This window comes from Homo sapiens, chromosome 3 (assembly GCF_000001405.40).
Source record: "Homo sapiens chromosome 3, GRCh38.p14 Primary Assembly".
Taxonomy (NCBI): Eukaryota; Metazoa; Chordata; class Mammalia; order Primates; family Hominidae; genus Homo; species Homo sapiens.
In genome coordinates this window covers 24,909,260-24,927,286 of record NC_000003.12, presented here as the reverse complement: position 1 = coordinate 24,927,286, position 18,027 = coordinate 24,909,260, and the positions used below count along the sequence as shown (strand labels likewise).

General features: G+C 37.5%; 1 protein-coding gene across 1 annotated transcript in view; it reads right to left on the bottom strand.

Moving 5' to 3' along the window:
• Nucleotides 1-18,027, bottom strand: part of RARB (retinoic acid receptor beta) — a 768,612-nt gene that overhangs the window by 670,646 nt on the left and 79,939 nt on the right. The gene's annotated exons all lie outside the window — the stretch shown is intronic.

Genomic DNA, 18,027 nt, shown 5'->3' with positions numbered 1-18,027 from the left:
CTATATAAAGATAAATACATTTAATCATAGTTAAGCTGTGGCATGGAAATCTTCAGGTTTTACTTTTTTCTAATTTTGTAATGCAAATCTACGAGTTTTACTGAATAACAAATTTATTGGATGAAATATTTGACACTATAAGGAAAAAATGGTTTTGCAAAAAACAAAAGAGTATAATTTGAGAATATATGAGGTTAAAGTAACATTACTGGATCAAGCTGCCATGCTGCCTTACTAACTAGGGATAGATGACAGGAAACCATTCTTCTCCATCTTTGAGAGTCTTATGTGTACTCTAAACTAGTGAAATCAGCCCTAATGGCTCTTATTTCGAAGTTCAGCTGAGTTATGACAAGAAAACACTCAAACTAGTCTTTTCACTTAATTTCTTAAGATGAGCACATTTGGTTTGTGAGTAACTTAATGATGGGAGTATATATTAAACCTCATTTGGGGAATTTATCATAACTATACAACTATTTGAACAATATAGTTTGTTCTTCTAGCAGCCTAGAATATAGTACCCAGAAGCTCTGATTTGTAAGGGCATGCTATATATTTATATATGCCTGTCCAGGTGTCATCTCCATCATGATGTACCAAAAATCAAACTCCTCATTCTTACTACAAATAGCTCTCAACTTCCCATCTTTCTCCTTGCCACCCCCAGCTTCTCGATTAGCCTCAAACACCTCGAAGCATCACTAGCTCATCCTTTTTGTTTAACAGCTATAGCATAAGTCATCAAGTCCTGGTGACCTGACTAGGTTTCAGGTGATATTTTAGCACTATCTATAGATAATGGTTCCACTTCTCAACTCAGATGTATTTGCGGGTCAACAATCTCTCTTCAATTGAACTTGTATTTGATGGCAAAACTGTTGCCATTTGTATTTAAAGCACCACATAATTTAGCAAGTTGTGGAGAATAAATTAGTTCCTGTGAAACAATACCTTGATTTTCACAGGGTACCCTATATTTTTAAAAGTAGGCTTCAATTTTACACACTCTCCACCGCAATTTATCTCAACCTTACTATTATCTTCTTCTCCCCTAATGTTTAATGTAAATTAAGTGTCTTACTGCTAACAAACATCCTACTGCTTTGCCTCATTCTCTTTGGTCAAACAAAACTCCGCATTAGGATCCTATAAATCATAGCAGATTAAGAAAACGAAATTGTAAAAATATGACAGAGACCATATTTTCTATAAATGTCAAAGGCTTGTGAGTTATCAACAATAAATTCACTTTGCAAGGAAGTATTCTCAGATCACCTACTGTGTGCTTCTGTTACAGACAGGAGTGTGTGCGTTCCTTGAGATAGCAGACATCAACTTCAAAGGATAAGTCACTGTAAAACCAAAATAACTTACACGTTGGTAAATACAAGCTAGTTAAGAGACAAGCCCACAAATGGGAAGGTTGAGAAAATTGGGATGAGATTATAGAATAACTTGAAACACTCTGTTTTCACGTGAAAGGTATTTTGTAGGCAAGAGTAAGCTATTGAAAGTTGTGAACCTGAAAATTCTAAGAAAGATATCTCTATTAATAGCTTGCCGCATTTCAAAAAGAGTAGAGGGAGTTGCAAAACCATATGAATATAAGCTTTTTTTTTTTTTTTTTTAAAAAAAAAAAAGACAGGATCTGGCTCTGTCACCCAGGCCAGAGTGGAATCGTGAGCTCTTGGTTCACTACAGCCTCCCTCGATCTCCTGGGATCAAGAATTGCTCCCACCTCAGTGTCTAGAGTGGCTGAGACCACAGATATGCACACCATGCCCAGCTAAATTTTGTATTTATTGTAGAGACAGGGTTTTGCCGTATTTCCCAGGCTGGTCTCAAATTCCTGAGCTCATGCAACCCTCCATATTCAGCCTCCCAAAGTGCTGGGATTACAGGCTTGAGCCACCATGCCAGGCCTGAGATTTCTTTCCAAGGACATATCTACAACAAAATGGCAAAATATTAATCTGTAAATCTAGTTGTGAATAATGGAGTTTGTCATATTTTCTGGATTTGTATGTGATAACTAGTATTTTGCAATTAATAGTATATTTAAAAAGGGAAAATGACATATTCTTTCCTTTAGTAAATATTTGAGTACCTTGAGAATGCCAAGTAGGGTGTGAAGTTGTGGGGATATAGTTTTTGTTTCATTTCACTGGTTAATGCATATGAGAGGGCTGCGAAAAGAAAAATGAGAATGCCAAGATTTGCCTTTCGTTACCATGTGCTCATTTGTGCCAAAGAATATTGGGTGAAGGGGCAGGGAACAGTGGTGGTGGTCAGCCCAGGAACAGGTGATATAAGCTTGCATTGTCTATAGTGGTTGACTACCACGTATTCACCATCCTCTATGTGCCAGGCATCATCTTAAGCAATTCAAATCTATTAATTCCTTTAGTCATCTATGCTCTTTACAGCACCCCTGTAAGGATAAGGGGTATTACCTCACAAGAGGTTAAGATACTTGTCTGAGTCCACACGTGGTAGAGCTAGGTTTTGAGCTCGGGCCCTGCAGATCATGCCCTGGAAAGTACAATGCTATATACTCCTCCCAAAATACAGGATTGAGACTAAAACATTCAGGCATATTCAAAAGGCAATAGCATAACCTCATTGACATCAATAGTATTACATATGACACAATTGTCATGTAGCTTTATATACTGACTGAGTAAAAATATTCATAGAGCTATGCTGTCCAATATGATATCTATTAGTCACACTCATCTCTTTAAAGTTAATTAAAAGAAAACATTAAATGAAAATTTTACTTCATCTCACATTACCCATATTTCCAGTACTCAGCAGCCATATCTAGCTAGTGGCTACCATACTGAGGAGCACAGATATAAACATTTTCATTGTCACAGAAAGTTCTCTTGGACAGCACAGGTATGAAACATTTCCAGTGTCACAGAAAATCCTATTTGACTGTCCCATTCTAGAGTCCAAGGATTTTTCCAATCACAATTCTTCAGCTGAGCTAAAGAATATAGAAATTCATTTGAATGACTATTTTATCAAAGATAGTACATGGTTATTACCATTTTAGGTGCAAAAGATACCTCAGGACATTCAGGGCTTCTTTCTAGGAATTCCTGTTAAGAAGCCGATTCCAAACTCCTACAAAAATAGAGAGTTTATTTCTGGGATGCCTCTGGTAGAAAAAAAAATAGTTTATGACTAGAAGGCTATGGGTTTTGGAGTATAGACTTTTGGAGTCTAGACCTGGCTGGGTCACTAAATTGCATACTTGAACAAGCCAAACAACCTTAATAGATCACAGATTTAATTATGTAAAATGATATTATTTCACCTGTTAATTTCTAAGATTTCATTCTGTTGAAATATCTAAGAATCTACAACCATAGAAACCATCCTCTTCACTTCCTCCCACTCCAAATTCACTGTTAGTACTTTTAAAGAAGATTAAACATTCACCACAATCTAGGAACAGGAATTTCTAGTTATTTCTTCAAGCTCTACCAGTCTTTAAGCTTCATAAGCTACTAAACTCTAGGTTTGCTCAGGCCCGTTTATGTTCACAAGCCTTCCTAATAATTCCACGTGATTCAGCTAGCTGTCTTCAGGATTAAACAGTCCTCTTTAAGGTAATTCTTATACCTTGCCCTAAGCAAAGGGCTTCTGTGGTTAGTGCTAAGTCCACTGAGGTTTATTCTTGTTACCTTTGCCCAGTATCTCAAAAAGCAAATTGTCAGAGCTAGAGCTTTGTCTCTACATGCTGAAGATTCAAAATAGAAAAGAAAAAAAAAAGAAAAAGAAAGAAGAGTGCCTATATAAGGTTTTAAAATAACGATTCTATAATTATTGGTAGATCTCAATGGATTTAGTACATCACTAATTATACCGCATTACTGTCAAATGAATTCTTTTAGCATGATTAATGTTATTATGCCAAATCCCAAATTAATTCACAATGAGTATCTTAAAGTCTCAGCAATGCTTTAAAAGGAGGGAAAAAAAGATGACAAATTAAGCTGGGCCATTATAGTGAAATACAGAGAGGTTTGCTATCTAAGCACTTCAAATATATTGCTAGAATTAAACTATATATTTATGAAGCACCTTTCTGATCTTAGTTCAGTTTTGCAGTAGATTTCCCAGCTGGAAAAATAATGTGCTAAATGGATAGCTCAAATACCCGGTCTCTTGACCTTTTACCCTTGTCTGAATATTTCTATTGTTTGTGTGTCTTTTGTTGTAACCTGCTGCAAGTCATCATTTTGGAAGTTGGTGGGATACAAATAAAGAATCCAAGAACAAAGAAAAAATATAGTCTCTTTGTCATTTAAACTTTTTGATTCGTAATTACTTTTCTCATAAATGTAGTCTTCTCTAGCTGTCCCAAGATTTTATTATCCCTAGCCAAGTTGACCATGAAGACTCTAAGGGTCTATAACCCTGAGACACCCTCCCCACTTTTTTCAGAGAGAGATGTTTGGCAGAGTTGGAAGCAGCCAGCTGTAGCAATGGACACTTAGTCTTTCTATTATGAATTGCAAGGCTCTGTATTTTAAACTCAAATTTGTAAATTGCCTACTCTAGCCTTCCTTTCCCTTGATCAACCTCTGGGCTGACCCGTCTTCTACACTTCTCTTTTTTCTACCACCCATGAGGCAGTATAATTTAGAGGTTAAGAGCATAGATTTCGAGGCACATTCCTTGTCTGTATATCCCAGCTCTTTCAGGCTGTGTGTGACTTTTGACAGGATACTTAACTTCTGTCAAACTCAGTTTCCTCGTCTGTAAAATGGGGACAATAAATACCTCCTCTAAATACCTACGGCCTACGACTGCTGTGAGGATTAAATGATTTGATACATGCTCAGCACAATTCCTGGAAAAATCTAAGTGCTTGATACACATTAGCTTTCATTATTCTCTCTTCCCTGAAGATAAAGAATGCAGTCAGAGGCAAAAACCTAAAATCTCCATCATTAACATCTTTTTCTCCAACGTGCAGTTCTGTGTGCCAGGAATTATGCTTCACATTTTACAAACATTACCTCATTCAACCATTTTTATCTCCATTTTACAGGTTTATACAGATAGCAGTGACAGAACCAGGATTTGAACCAGGGTTGAATGCTACAGCTTGTGTTAACACTTGACACTAGAAGTGCTTTCATAAAATACTTTCCTATATAAGACAGTGGTATCTGTATTTTACACATGGAGAAATGACACCTTAGCAAAATAAACTTGCCTTAGCCCCAAGGGTCTAGCATGCAGACCTAGAGACTCTACTGCATCCTTGGCCCTAGGACAGTACTGTCCGCTGAGATCTGTGAGGGATGAAACAATGTTGGGCAGGTAAGCCTGCATCAATCTGCAGCCTTCAAGTCAGCAAATTCATGAATTGCTTAAACCTAGAATCAGGGTATGTGAAATGTATAATTTCTTAGGATTCTGCATCATCTAAGAATTGCTGCATTGGATTGCTAATTGCAGAGATTATTCTATACAGATTATTGTATTTTTCCTATTTGACATTTTAGTCTAGGTCCAGACAAATTTAGTCTGGGTAGAGGGCATTGCTTAAGATGAGGACTAGTGTAGCACTCTGGGGAGATGCTGAGGTCTGGGCTAGACTATGCGGGAAGAGAGTTAAGAGGAGATGGGGGGGACCTCCTCGCTGATTGGGTGCTGAGATAAGAAGCAGAAAAGAAGAAAGGTTGATCTGAAGAGCGAGGCAGGAAGCTCACTGGTAAACACAGGGCACATGGTTAGAAGGACCTATGGTGGGCTGTGCTGGTGCAAGGTCACCTAAACACTTATCACAGGAATGCTTCATTTTTATATAATTAAAGACAAAAAATGTGCTCCAGAGTTTGGGGCAGGGCTGATTTTCTGTGATAATGGAAGAAAACAGAAGCATGTAGTGCTTTCTTCTAGTCACTCCAGCTTTAAGGAGCGGAGTGATACAGAGGAGTTCGTTACACTGGGGTAAAAGCAATTTTTTCAGCTACAGAATAAAAGTATGTAGCACAGTGCTGAACACACGGTAGGATCTCAATGTGTACATCTGGAGTGCAATAATGAATGAATTTAAAGAAGAAGTCAGAAACTGATAGTCTCATGGGCTATTCAAACTGCTTGTACTAGCGTTGAAAAAAAATCAGAATTCTCTTTCAGCATATACTAGTTAAGAGATTAGTAATCACTGTCTATAGAACAGACAGGTGCCACCTTGACCTGCTTTTACCTGCTTGGGTTTTGTAGGCCTCTGCACCAGTAAGCCTTGACCTAAAGACATGACTATAATAGTGGAACTATTGGCCAGTATGAGGGGAAGTGATGCCATAGAAAGCTTAAGAGAGCTAATTAGGAGCAAAAGGACTTCAACTTGACACTCAAATCATATCAATTATGTAGAACTGTCTCACTCTGGTTCTTGCTGAGAATGCTCTATAAATGCAGTATCCAATTAGAAGTAGATTGACAAAGTGAGAGAGACTAATGACTGATAAAAGCTGAACCACAGACAAAGTTGGCTGTTTGGAGGAGTTTAAAGACTTGTGGAACTGAGGACAGAATGGAAGCCATCGTGGCATAACCAGAAATGGAACTCAACACAGTGTAGGAGATGAAAAACAAAATTGAGAGTCAGGAGAGAAGAGTTCTAGTCTAGGGCAGCTGCCAAGTGTTCTGACCTTGGACAAGGCCATGCCACACTCTCTTTGTTCTTTATCTGGAAAAGAAGAGAATTAGAGTTGATTATTTAAATTCCCAATTTTAACCTAACTTCCAAAACCTTACAAAATTAACAGCTGAAGCTACAGTGTTCAAGGGAGATCTGGAAAATTGGAGATGAAATGGGTATGGGAAAGACTACCATTTTTAATACAATATTTAGATTTCCTGATTTGAAGTTTTCTAATTTTAAATCTGTGATTTTCCTTTCTGAGCTGGTTGCAATACCATCTTTCCATTATATATTAAGGAAATATTTGTTCTACAATTTAGAAGGATTAACACGATTTCCATTGGAAATTGGCCCTAATTGGGGATAGAGGTGGACTATTTTTAAGGACTTCAACACATTATTTGTATGCAAATGGTGCTGCTAATTGCCAAATTAAAAGTAGTCCCAGCAGGACCTCTTCAAGAAAACCCTTGGTTAACAGCTAGCTCACATTGTTAATGTTATTGAAAACTAATGCAATTGCTTTTTATTTTTAAATAATCTTAAATTCATTCTCTTTGGTTTGTATGACTAGCATCCTCCCAACCTCTCAAAGAGAAATTTAACTCAATAAGCAGTGTCCAGCGAGGTTATTACAAAATGAACATGTTAAAACCCACGTATTTTAATTTGTAGGCAGAGACCACACACCTTCATTTTGCCATTTTGGACTTTTGTACACAATTGTATCAAGACTGTTCAGAGTTCAGCAGCACCCTGGAAGTTGTAAATGAGCAGAAAGAGGAAACTGCTAGAGACAGCACTTTGAAAAGTCTGATGAGAAGAAATTAAAGGCACCATGAAGAAAAATAAAATTAGAAGTCAGATAAGGAATTAGAAGAGCACATTGTTCTGGGTCCTTTTAGAAAAGATACCTAAACAACTGTTCAAAAAGAAACCTTAGACAAATCCTACTAAACAGTTTAATTGAGCAAAGAACAATTCACTAATTGGGCAGCCTCCAGACCCAGAGTAGGCTCAGAGAGATTCCAGTGCAGCCACGTGGTGAAAGAACATTCATGGACAGAAAAAGAAAGTGACGTACAGTAAATGGAAGTGAGGTACAGAAACAGCCGGATTGGTTACAGCTTGGTGTTTGCCTTATTTGAACAGGGTTTGAACAGTTGGCCATCTTTGATTAGCCAAAACTCGATGATTGGCACAAGAGTAGGTTACAGTCTGTTCGCACCTGCATTTCGGTTATAGTTCACTTTGTATGGAGAAACTTTTAGGCCGAACTTCACATACGTAAAGAGGCAGCTTTAGGCTAAACTTAATTTAACACAACTCAATACCAAATCTTGGAAACAAGTACAGTCATAGAAGGTTAAGAACTTTTGAGCCAAAAAGTAGTGAAATATTATGGTCAATGCCTCTAGATCATTATTATCATAGTAGTAGGAGTTGACACTTATTAAGCTCTCAATGTGTTAAATGCTGTGATAAGTACAGTTTATCTCCTGCAATTTTGTTAAAATTACTATGAGGGACATACTCTTATTGCTATTTTATAGAGGAGTAAAATAAATCACTGAGAGGCTAAGTAATTTCCAGAAGTCACACAGTAAGGATGAAGGAAATCATACTGTACCAAATTCAGTTCTCTTACCCACAAAACTCTACAATTTTGACTTCTATCAGTCTAAGTTTTTTATTTATTTAATTTAATTTTATTTATTTTTTGAGACTCTCGCTCTGTCACCCAGGCTGGAGTGCAATGGCATGATCTGGCTCACTGCAACCTCTGCATCCTGGGTTCAAGCAATTCTCCTGCCTCAGCCTCCTGGGTAGCTGGGATTACAGGCACCCGCCACCACGACCAGCTAATTTTTATAGTTTTAGTAGAGACAGGGTTTCACCATGTTGGCCTGTTGGCCAGGATGGTCTTGAACTCCTGACTTCAGGCAATCTGCCCACCTCGGCCTCCCAAAGTGCTGGGATTACAGGTGCGAGCCACTGTGCCCAGCCCTAGTCTAAATTTTGTACAATATTTGTAACAGCTTTGAGATGTTATTAACATACCATAACATTCACCTGTTATAAGTGTATAATTTAATGGTTTTTGGTAAATTTACAAAATTATGCAACCATCATCACACTCAAGTTTTAAAATATCTCCGTCACCCCAAAAAGACCCCACTTTCTCTTTTGCAGTTAATTCCTGTTCTCTCCCAGGCAACTCATATCTACTTTGCCTCTATAGATCTGCATTTTCTAGGTATTTCATACAAATAAAGATTACAATATAAGGTCTTTTGACATCTGGTCTCCTTCAGTTAGAAAATGTTTTTGAAGTTCAACCAAGTCAGGTTGCAGTTCAACCAGCATGTATTAGTAATTCGTTCATTTGCATTGCTGAATAATATGCCATTGTACGGAGGTACCGTTTTTGTTTAGTCATTCACCAGTTGATGAACATTTGGATTGTTTGCATTTTTTAACTACTAAGAACAATGTTATTCTGAACATTCACATTGAGGCCTTTGTGTGGATGTATGTTTTCCTTTCGTTTGCATAGCATGCTAGGTGTGGACTTGCTGGGTTGCATGATGTTATATTTAACATTTCAGAAAACCGACAAATTGTTTCCTAAAGTAGCTGTACCACTTTGCATTTCCATCAGCAATGTATGAGGGTTCCAGATTACCTACATCTTCACCAGTACTTACTTTGTCTCTTTACTTATAATCATTCTAGTGGGTGTGAAGTAGACTGTGGTTTTCCCTAGAGACTAACGACATGGGCTGGGCACTGTGGCTCACGCCTGTAAGCCCAGCACTTTAGGACGCCGAAGGAGGCAGATCACCTGAGGTCAGGATTTTGAGACCAGCCTGGCCAACATGGTAAAACCCCGTCTCTAGTAAAAATAGAGAAATTAGCAGGCATGGCACACGCCTGTAGTCCCAGCTACTTGGGAGGCTGAGGCAGGAGAATCGCTTGAACCCAGGAGGCAGAGGTTGCAGTGAGCAGAGATCGCACCACTGTACTCTAGTCTGGGTGACAGAGCAAGCCTGTGTCTCAAGACTAATGACATTGAGCATATTTTTATGTGCTTACATTCTTTGATGAAGTGACTATTCAATCAAATCTTTTGTCCATACCTAATTAAGTTGTCCATCACTGAGTTGTGCTTTGTTTATTCTGGATATGAGTTCATCAAATATGCTATTTGCAAATATTTTCTTACAGCCTGTGATCTGTCTTTTTTACTTAATGTATTTTGAAACATACATTTTTTAAGTTTAGTCAATGTATCAGTTTTTTTCCTCTATGAATCATGCTTTTCATGTCATATCTAAAACCTCTTAACCTAAGGTCATGAAGTTTTTTTCTAAAACTTTTTTGATTTTAGCTCTTACATTTAGGTTTGTTTGCATATGGCAAGGGTAAGATTCTAAAGTAATTTGTTCCCACTAAGGTACCAATTTCACAAATAATTCATACCCCAAGACTTCATTATAAAATTTTTTTAAAAAACAAAAGTTGAAAAGTTTTACAGTGAACACCCATGACAATTTTTAACATTTGCAGTATTCACTATTCTTCATAAATTAGTTATATCTGTGCAAATTCACAAAAACTTCATACAAATGGAATAATTGAATGTGTACAGTTTGTGTTATGTTTCTTCCACTCAGCAAAATATTACTGAGATTCATCCATGTTTTTCCTAAGTTTCATTATACAGGTAGGCTGCAGTTTGTTTATGCATTATCCTTTTGATGGACACCTGGCCTGTTTCCCATTTTGGGGTGTTAAAACATGTACCTTCTTGTACAAGGTTTTTTTTTTTTTTTTTTTGAACAGCAAACACATAGAAATGAGACTGCAATGCCATAGAATAGATGTATATTTAATTTTATAAGAAACTGCAATACTTTTTACCAAAATGGTTATACCCTTTTATACTCACATGAGCAACACAGAAGATTTCCAGTTTCTCCATATCATCAATATGCTTTCTGGGAAACATCACTCTCTGCAAGTGTGTTTTACTCATTAAGCACATCAGACATCACAGGTATCAGAGAGGGTAAAAGAAGAGTTCTTCAATATACCTAGAGGGAGTAGGTAATAACCAATGCGGGCTTTCATTCTGCTAACAGAGGAGACCAGGACCTTCTCCTTAGAAGCATCTAGGAATACTAAAATGCTGCAGGAACAGCCATGGAATAAAGCCTCATTGGTCAGGAGACATGGGATTATGTTAATCTTACTCTCCTGATGCCCTTCTGTGGGGCCTTAAGAAAATCAGGTGTAGTAGGGAAGGTTGATTATCCTTAAGATTCTTTTCAACTTTCTTTCTCTTTTTGTACCTATGACTAGAATGGAGGGAAATGATATATATTTCCCTCAAAATCATAAAGAGGGCTCTAGCTTTCACTGTGTCCTACTGCTTTCTGTGAGTCTTTTTTCCAGCTCAGACATAAACACAGACATCTCTGCTTGTGCTCTCATTACACAGAAGTAAACTACTATTGACAGGCCTAGTTTTTATTAATTCTCCTTGTCCACCACTTGAGTCAGTCAATTTCCGTAAGGCTTTTGATTGCTTTCTACTTCTGAAGTGCTGTCTCACTCCACTCAGGCCTTGAATGTAGGTGCCTCTCTCTCCCTGACTCCTGTGAACTTGCTTTTCTGCAGCCTCTCCCTTGATGCACTAAGGTTTCCCCTTCCAGCTTTGTTTCTTGGCTTCAGAAATCCCATTCCTTCTACTGGGGTGAGATCACTCCAGACCCATCATTCACAGCTTAATGGTCACCTACATTTGTATAGACCCAGGATCAACATATTAGCATTCCCAGAAGAAAGCTATTTGGTGAGCTCACCATGGCTAAAAGTCACCTCATGTCACATATCAGTTGAACCAGATCCAAGTCACATACAACACCCACAACGCTGTATGGCAAACACATACATGAAGTCTGAAAATGTTATTTCCCTTTCTGAGAGGCTTAAAAACCTTCATGAAACAACATTTGGGCATATATCTCTAGTTCAAAATTTCTCCAATGGATCAGGCATGATTTCCTAGCAATTTATGAGCAGTCTTTGGTCTGGAGCTGTCCCTGTCCAGTATGATAGCCATTAGCCACATGTGGCTATTGAGCAGTGGAAATATAGCTCCTCAGAATTGAGATATACTGTAAGTGTAAAATGCACACTAATTTTAAAGATGTAATACAAAAATTGACACATGCCAGTTAAATTTTAATATGATTTGTGTTAAAATATTTCAAATATATGAAGTTAAATTAAAATTAGTTTTACCTAGGTCTGTACTTTTATGTCTGTGACTACTAGAAAACTATGTTACATGTTTGACTTATATCACATTTCTGTTGGACAGCATGGGTCTATAGCATTTTAAAAGAAAGCCTCTCTTTCAAAAAAAAGTTTGTTTTTGTTTTCTTCAACTTTTGTATCTCTTGTCTAAAACCAACAGGACTAGTTCTTCAGAAACACCTCTTATAAAGAGTGGTCCTCTCCCCACTAACCACTAAGTGCACAGTTTGGAATGACTACTTCTATGTTTCAAATCAGCTTTCAAAGACAAACAATATCAATCTCTATAATGCTATGTATGGAAGCTGGGTCCATCCTGCAAAGTCAAGGTATTATATTCACTTTAGGAAGCTCAACAACAAATCCAAACAGGTCACAGTGAGGTACATTTATAGTGCACAGGTGGTTAAGACAGGACAATACCATCTGTTAGTACTGAGATTACCACATCATTTCGGGCATTGTACGGTGGACCCTCTGTATCTCGAGTTCCACATCCTTGGATTCAACCAGTTTCAGATTGAAAATATTTGAAAAATATGAATGGTTGTACCTGTACTGAACACACACAGACTTTGTCATTCCATAAACAATACAGTGTAACAACTATTATATAGCATTTACATAGTATTAGGTAATCTGGAGATGATTTAAAGTATACAGGACGATGTGTGCAGGTTATATGCAAATACTACAGCATTTTCTATCAGGGACACGAGTATCATGGATTTTGGTACCTGAGAGGGGAACCAGAACCAGTCCTTTATGGATACTGAAGATCGGCTGTACTTTACACATAATTGGCAGAAGATGTTCCATCTATCAAATCCGGAAGGTTGAATTACCTCTTCCCATGAGCAAGCAGGATAAGGCCTATCTGAGAGGGCATACCTGTCTTACCCTGCCCCCAATATTCCTGCAGCAATCCCCACCTTTAAAAGCTTTGAAACTTCAGTGAGTGGCAATATTCCAGGGCCCTAGAATCCATTTGTCACTGAGATGCCACAGGTACGACATGGAAAATGTTACTCATCAAGAGATTTGAGCATGTGTTGCTGTACCACTAGGGGTGCTGGACAAATTTAAACATTTTGTGTCTCAGATCCCTGAGCTATAACATGTTGGAGCATATAGAAGGTGGAATGGTACATGATTTGAGATTTTCCATCTGTGATCCTTTCTCTTTCTAATGCTGCTTAAGTAGCATCACAGACAACATGATTTCATGTGTGATTGGCACCATCTTGGCCATACCCATTTCCCTGTGGCTACCTTTTGCATCTGGCTGACTTGTGTGTATTTCCATCGCATAGAGAAAAAGCCAGACAAGCTGATTTTAGATAGACTAGAGCTTAAATTCTAAGAAAAATTAGTCTGTTTCTAATACATAGTGAGTAAACCCCGAATGTCACTAAGTGCTGGAGTACTATTTTAGACTGGATATCCACTTTTATGTTGCTTTTAGATTTACAAATTCATAATTATTGACCTGATCCTTAATCTTGATAACTTTTTCCCCAAAAACGTTCAAAATATGGGACTGTAAAGATTAATTATCCTTACCAGCTTAATTTTTTGTTGGCTATTGAACAGACTCAGATGAGTGTTATCATTTCACATTAAGATGTAACTTTATTTTGATGAAAGAAATTCCTGGCATTTGATTGTCCACTAATTGAGATAGATACAAGTAGGAACCCATTTTTGTAACAATATTTCCTGATAGTTATTTCAACTCTACTGTTACAGAAATAAGTTAACACACAAATTTACTCTGAAATTGTATTTTTCACTCTGCCCTTGAATTGAGAGAAATGTATGAGCTATACTTCTGAATTAGTACTATAGACGATCTCTGACCAAAAAAAAAAAAAAAAAAAGAGAGAGAGAGAGAAAGAAGACTATGTCACTTCATACATTTGTAAGTTGTCTCTACAATTGTCTGTAAATTGAAGGAAATCTCAGTGGGAAAACCCTCTGTTAAGAAAAGAACAGTACCGGCTGGGCGCGGTGGCTCACACCTGTAATCCCAGCACTTTGGGAGGCCAAGGTGGGCAGATCAGGAGGTCAGGAGATCGAGACCATCGTGGCTAACACAGTGAAACCCCGTCTCTACTAAAAATACAAAAACAAAATTAGCCGGGCGTGGTGGCGGGTGCCTGTAGTCCTAGCTGCTCAGGAGGCTGAGGCAGGAGAATGGCATGAACCTGGGAGGCGGAGCTTGCAGTGAGCCGAGAAGGCGCCACTGCACTCCAGCCTGAGCGACAGAGCGAGACTCTGTCTCCAAAAAAAAAAAAAAAAAAAAAAGAATCAGTACCTTGTGTGCGTATTGCCACTTTAGATACCATGGGTCACATTTTCTTAAGAGACAACATACCTGTATGGGATAATTTTCCTGTCTTTCAATCTCTTCCTGGATTTGAGAAACTTAAGTTACACTTTGAAAAACATTTCTCTTATACACAAGGATAGAAAAACTGAGATTCAGGTTCTTTCTAACCTCCTTTTCTATATGATAATTATTAAGAACATTCATAGAATGCTAACTTTAGTTGAAATGTCAAATGCAACTTAGTTTAATCATGTAGAAAGATTTTTCTCTTCCCTGAGAAATAGTGGCTTCTTCTATTTAAATCCTCCCAGCGATGGGAGTTCATTGCCCTGTGCCCTGGTTCCATTTTTATCTGTTTCTAGGATTATTAAAAGATTGGCTATGTTAAGCTGAACTGCATCTTCCTAAAACTCAGACCCATTGGTTTCTATTCTCCCTACAGGGCCACCCGTACTAAACCCAATTCATCTTATATCTGGAAGATACTCACATATTTGAGGACACCGAATAATAATGACCACTTATTGAGATTTTACTGTGTACCAGACATTGTATTAAGTATATTACATGTATTATTTAACATATTCTTCATAACAATACGAAGAAACGGGTACATGAATCCTTTTGTAGAACAAATGGAGGTACAGAAATGTTCCCTAACTTACCCGAGATCAGATAGATAAAACATGGAAGAAGTAGGATTCGTACCTTGTATGCCTGATGCCAACAAAAGCTCGTGGACACTATCATGGAGCCACATTTCCCCCCTGCCTCGTCATAGCCCTCATTCTCAAATTTCTAGCAACTCTCCTGCTATCTGCAGGAATATTTAAGCACAGCAGGAGACATGGAAAAGGCACTCAAGCAATATTTGTTTAGCGACCATGTGCATAAGTAAATGTCGCTAAAAATGGTTCTGAGGTCCCATGCTCATGTTTTTTTATCATTGCACGTCTGGAGACTTGAACTTCTTTAAAGCAATCCTATGTACTGTGTTGTCACCAACATTAAGATTCATTCTTTTTACATGGGCACAGTCCTAGCCTTTCTGAGAGAATATCACAAGATGCTTTGAAAATCTAGTGAAGTCTATAGAAAATTCTTCCTAGAAAAAACACACTCCCACAAATACACATTTTAATCCACAATATGGTACTTTTTTAAGAGACAAGATCTTGCTATGTTTCCCAGGCTGATCTTGAACTCCTGGCCTCAAGTGATCCTCCCATCTTGGCCTCCCAAAGTGCTAGGATTACAGGTATGAGCCACTGTGCCCAGCCAGGATTTGGCACATTCATACATTCCTCTGATACCATCCGTGGAGAAACCATACAATCCAAGTTTATTCAAATTTTTCAGTGTTAAGACACTACCACTTAATAGCAAAAGCAAACAAAAAATAAAAATAAAAACTGGGTAACTGTTTGACATTAGGTAACATTTATGCTTGGTCCCAAACCATGGGACCATTCCTCCTCCATATTTCTGTACATATGCAACAGAAATTGTTTCTAGAGTTTTCTTTCAGATGTCAGCTCATTCCAGGTTTAGCATCCTTAAAGTTATTAAAAGTTTGTACCATTCATTTTTATAGCTTGGTAAAAAGCTTTTTTTGATTTTATATAAATTCCTTTCTTTTACAATCGAACAGAACAATCCTGTCAATGTCACTTGTTGGGAGGTCTGTGTGTTCATTTCTTAAGAATTCTAATTCTCTTTTACTGAGTACTACAGCTGTGAACAAAGCCAAGTACTTTCTTCCGAGAGAGAAGATGGTTTCATCCTAGAAATACTTTTAATTATTAAGCAGTCCAACTTAATTCATCATTAGTGCCCATAATGAAACGCAATAAGGCAATTTAGGGAGAATGAAGCAGAGGTGTCATAAAATAAAATATGAAGTCATAACATTTATCACAGCTTGCCGAAGAGAAATTTATTCTGCTGGAAGCAATAGTTACAGGCATAAAACTTGAGCTGTTAAAGAACTTATGTTGGCCCTGTGGTAGAAATTGGCTAGCTGTGCATAAAATCTAGTTCCTTTTCCTTTTGGGCACACAGCTAGACTACTAGCCTCCCTTGTGGTCAGGAGTAGCCACAAAACTGAGTTGTAGCCAGTGTAATGCAGCAGCAGCAATATATGTCATTTTGGGGTTTCCACATAAAATCCTCCCTCATAATTCTCCATGGTCTTTTCTGCATCGGGTTGACTATAATGAAGACTCCCCAGGGTAGCGTCAGACACAAGCATTGAAAAATATAGGGTTGAAAATGGAAGGAAATGGAGTCTCCAAATTCAATATTGAGAAAAAACTACCAGACCAGGAGCACCCAAGTTAGACTGTTAAGAGTGACAAACTTTTATCATATTGAGCCTCTGGGATATTGGATTGGGGAGTATCTGTTAGAGCAAATAGGATTATTTTAACTAAAACAGCTCTCCTTTGTAAACACAGATTATTCACAGGTCCTAAAAAATTACAAAGCTCATATATTTACTCTATATTTATCAAAACATGTCATCCAATTATTTTGTGTTTATTTACCTTAAATGAGATGATAAATTTCATTATTAGTGGGTTTTGGGTAAGAAGAGCTAGACATTAGTATTAGCGGGACTGAACCTAACTGGGAAAACTAGAAAATTTACTTGAAAGTCTTTGAAGGGATGGTGGAAAGGCAAATGCAATTCAACGTTTTTTTGCCAGCACCCCCAATTTCCCTAAGTTTCTAGGCTTAGGAAGAACAATTTTTCAATGTGAAATTATATTTAGCTTGCAAAAAATAGAAACATGGTGGAGTAAAAAAAGGAAGAGTCAGACTGCCTGAGGTTCAAATCCTTTGCCAAAAATGGGGATAGAAAGATTCAGATTTATGTGGTTGCTATGAGAATTAAATAAAATGGTAACATACCTAGTATGTAGGAGCTTTTCAATAATCTCTGGCTAGAACAATTAAAAGCAGACTTTTTCAATTTTGCGGCATAAATGTTTTGGGAAAAAATATATAGAAATTCGACACTTTACTGTGGAGAATAAATACAAACACACACACAGAGACATGTTACTTGGCAAATATAGACATTTATGCTAACATGCATACAAACATTAAAATTCTATGCCCTACACAATCAGACATCAAAAATAAGAGGTGACAGAACAAAAATAGGTCAGGGTAGACCACTCAGGTTACATACTTTGTAAGCAGAGCACAACAAGAATCATCTTAAAAATCCATCACGGTTAAAAGACAGGATGAATCCCTAGTAAATAAAACTGACATATAGAAGGACTAACAAATGCAAAGAAAGGTAGAGATAGCTTAATGGAAGGTTTAAGTCAAAGCTGAATCTTGGAGATGAGGTAAAAATCCAAAAAAAAAAAAAAAGATGAAGAAAACTAGAATAATAAGTACTTCCAAGATGGAACACCTAGTGATACTGAGTCACGAGGAGGAACGTAGGAGACAGGCCTCGTGTGCACACTCTGTTCTTTCATAGCTCACTGCATTCACCCGCGTCAGTGAACTTTAATACGTCAAAAATTAATGTGCTGGAGAGCACCAAGATGATCCCCATATTTTATTGATATTGCTCTATTTACCAATCATGTGTGTGCTAATTCATGTTATAGAAATGTGTTATAGAAGAATATAGTAGGTGCTCAATGAATATTTGTTGAATGAATGAATG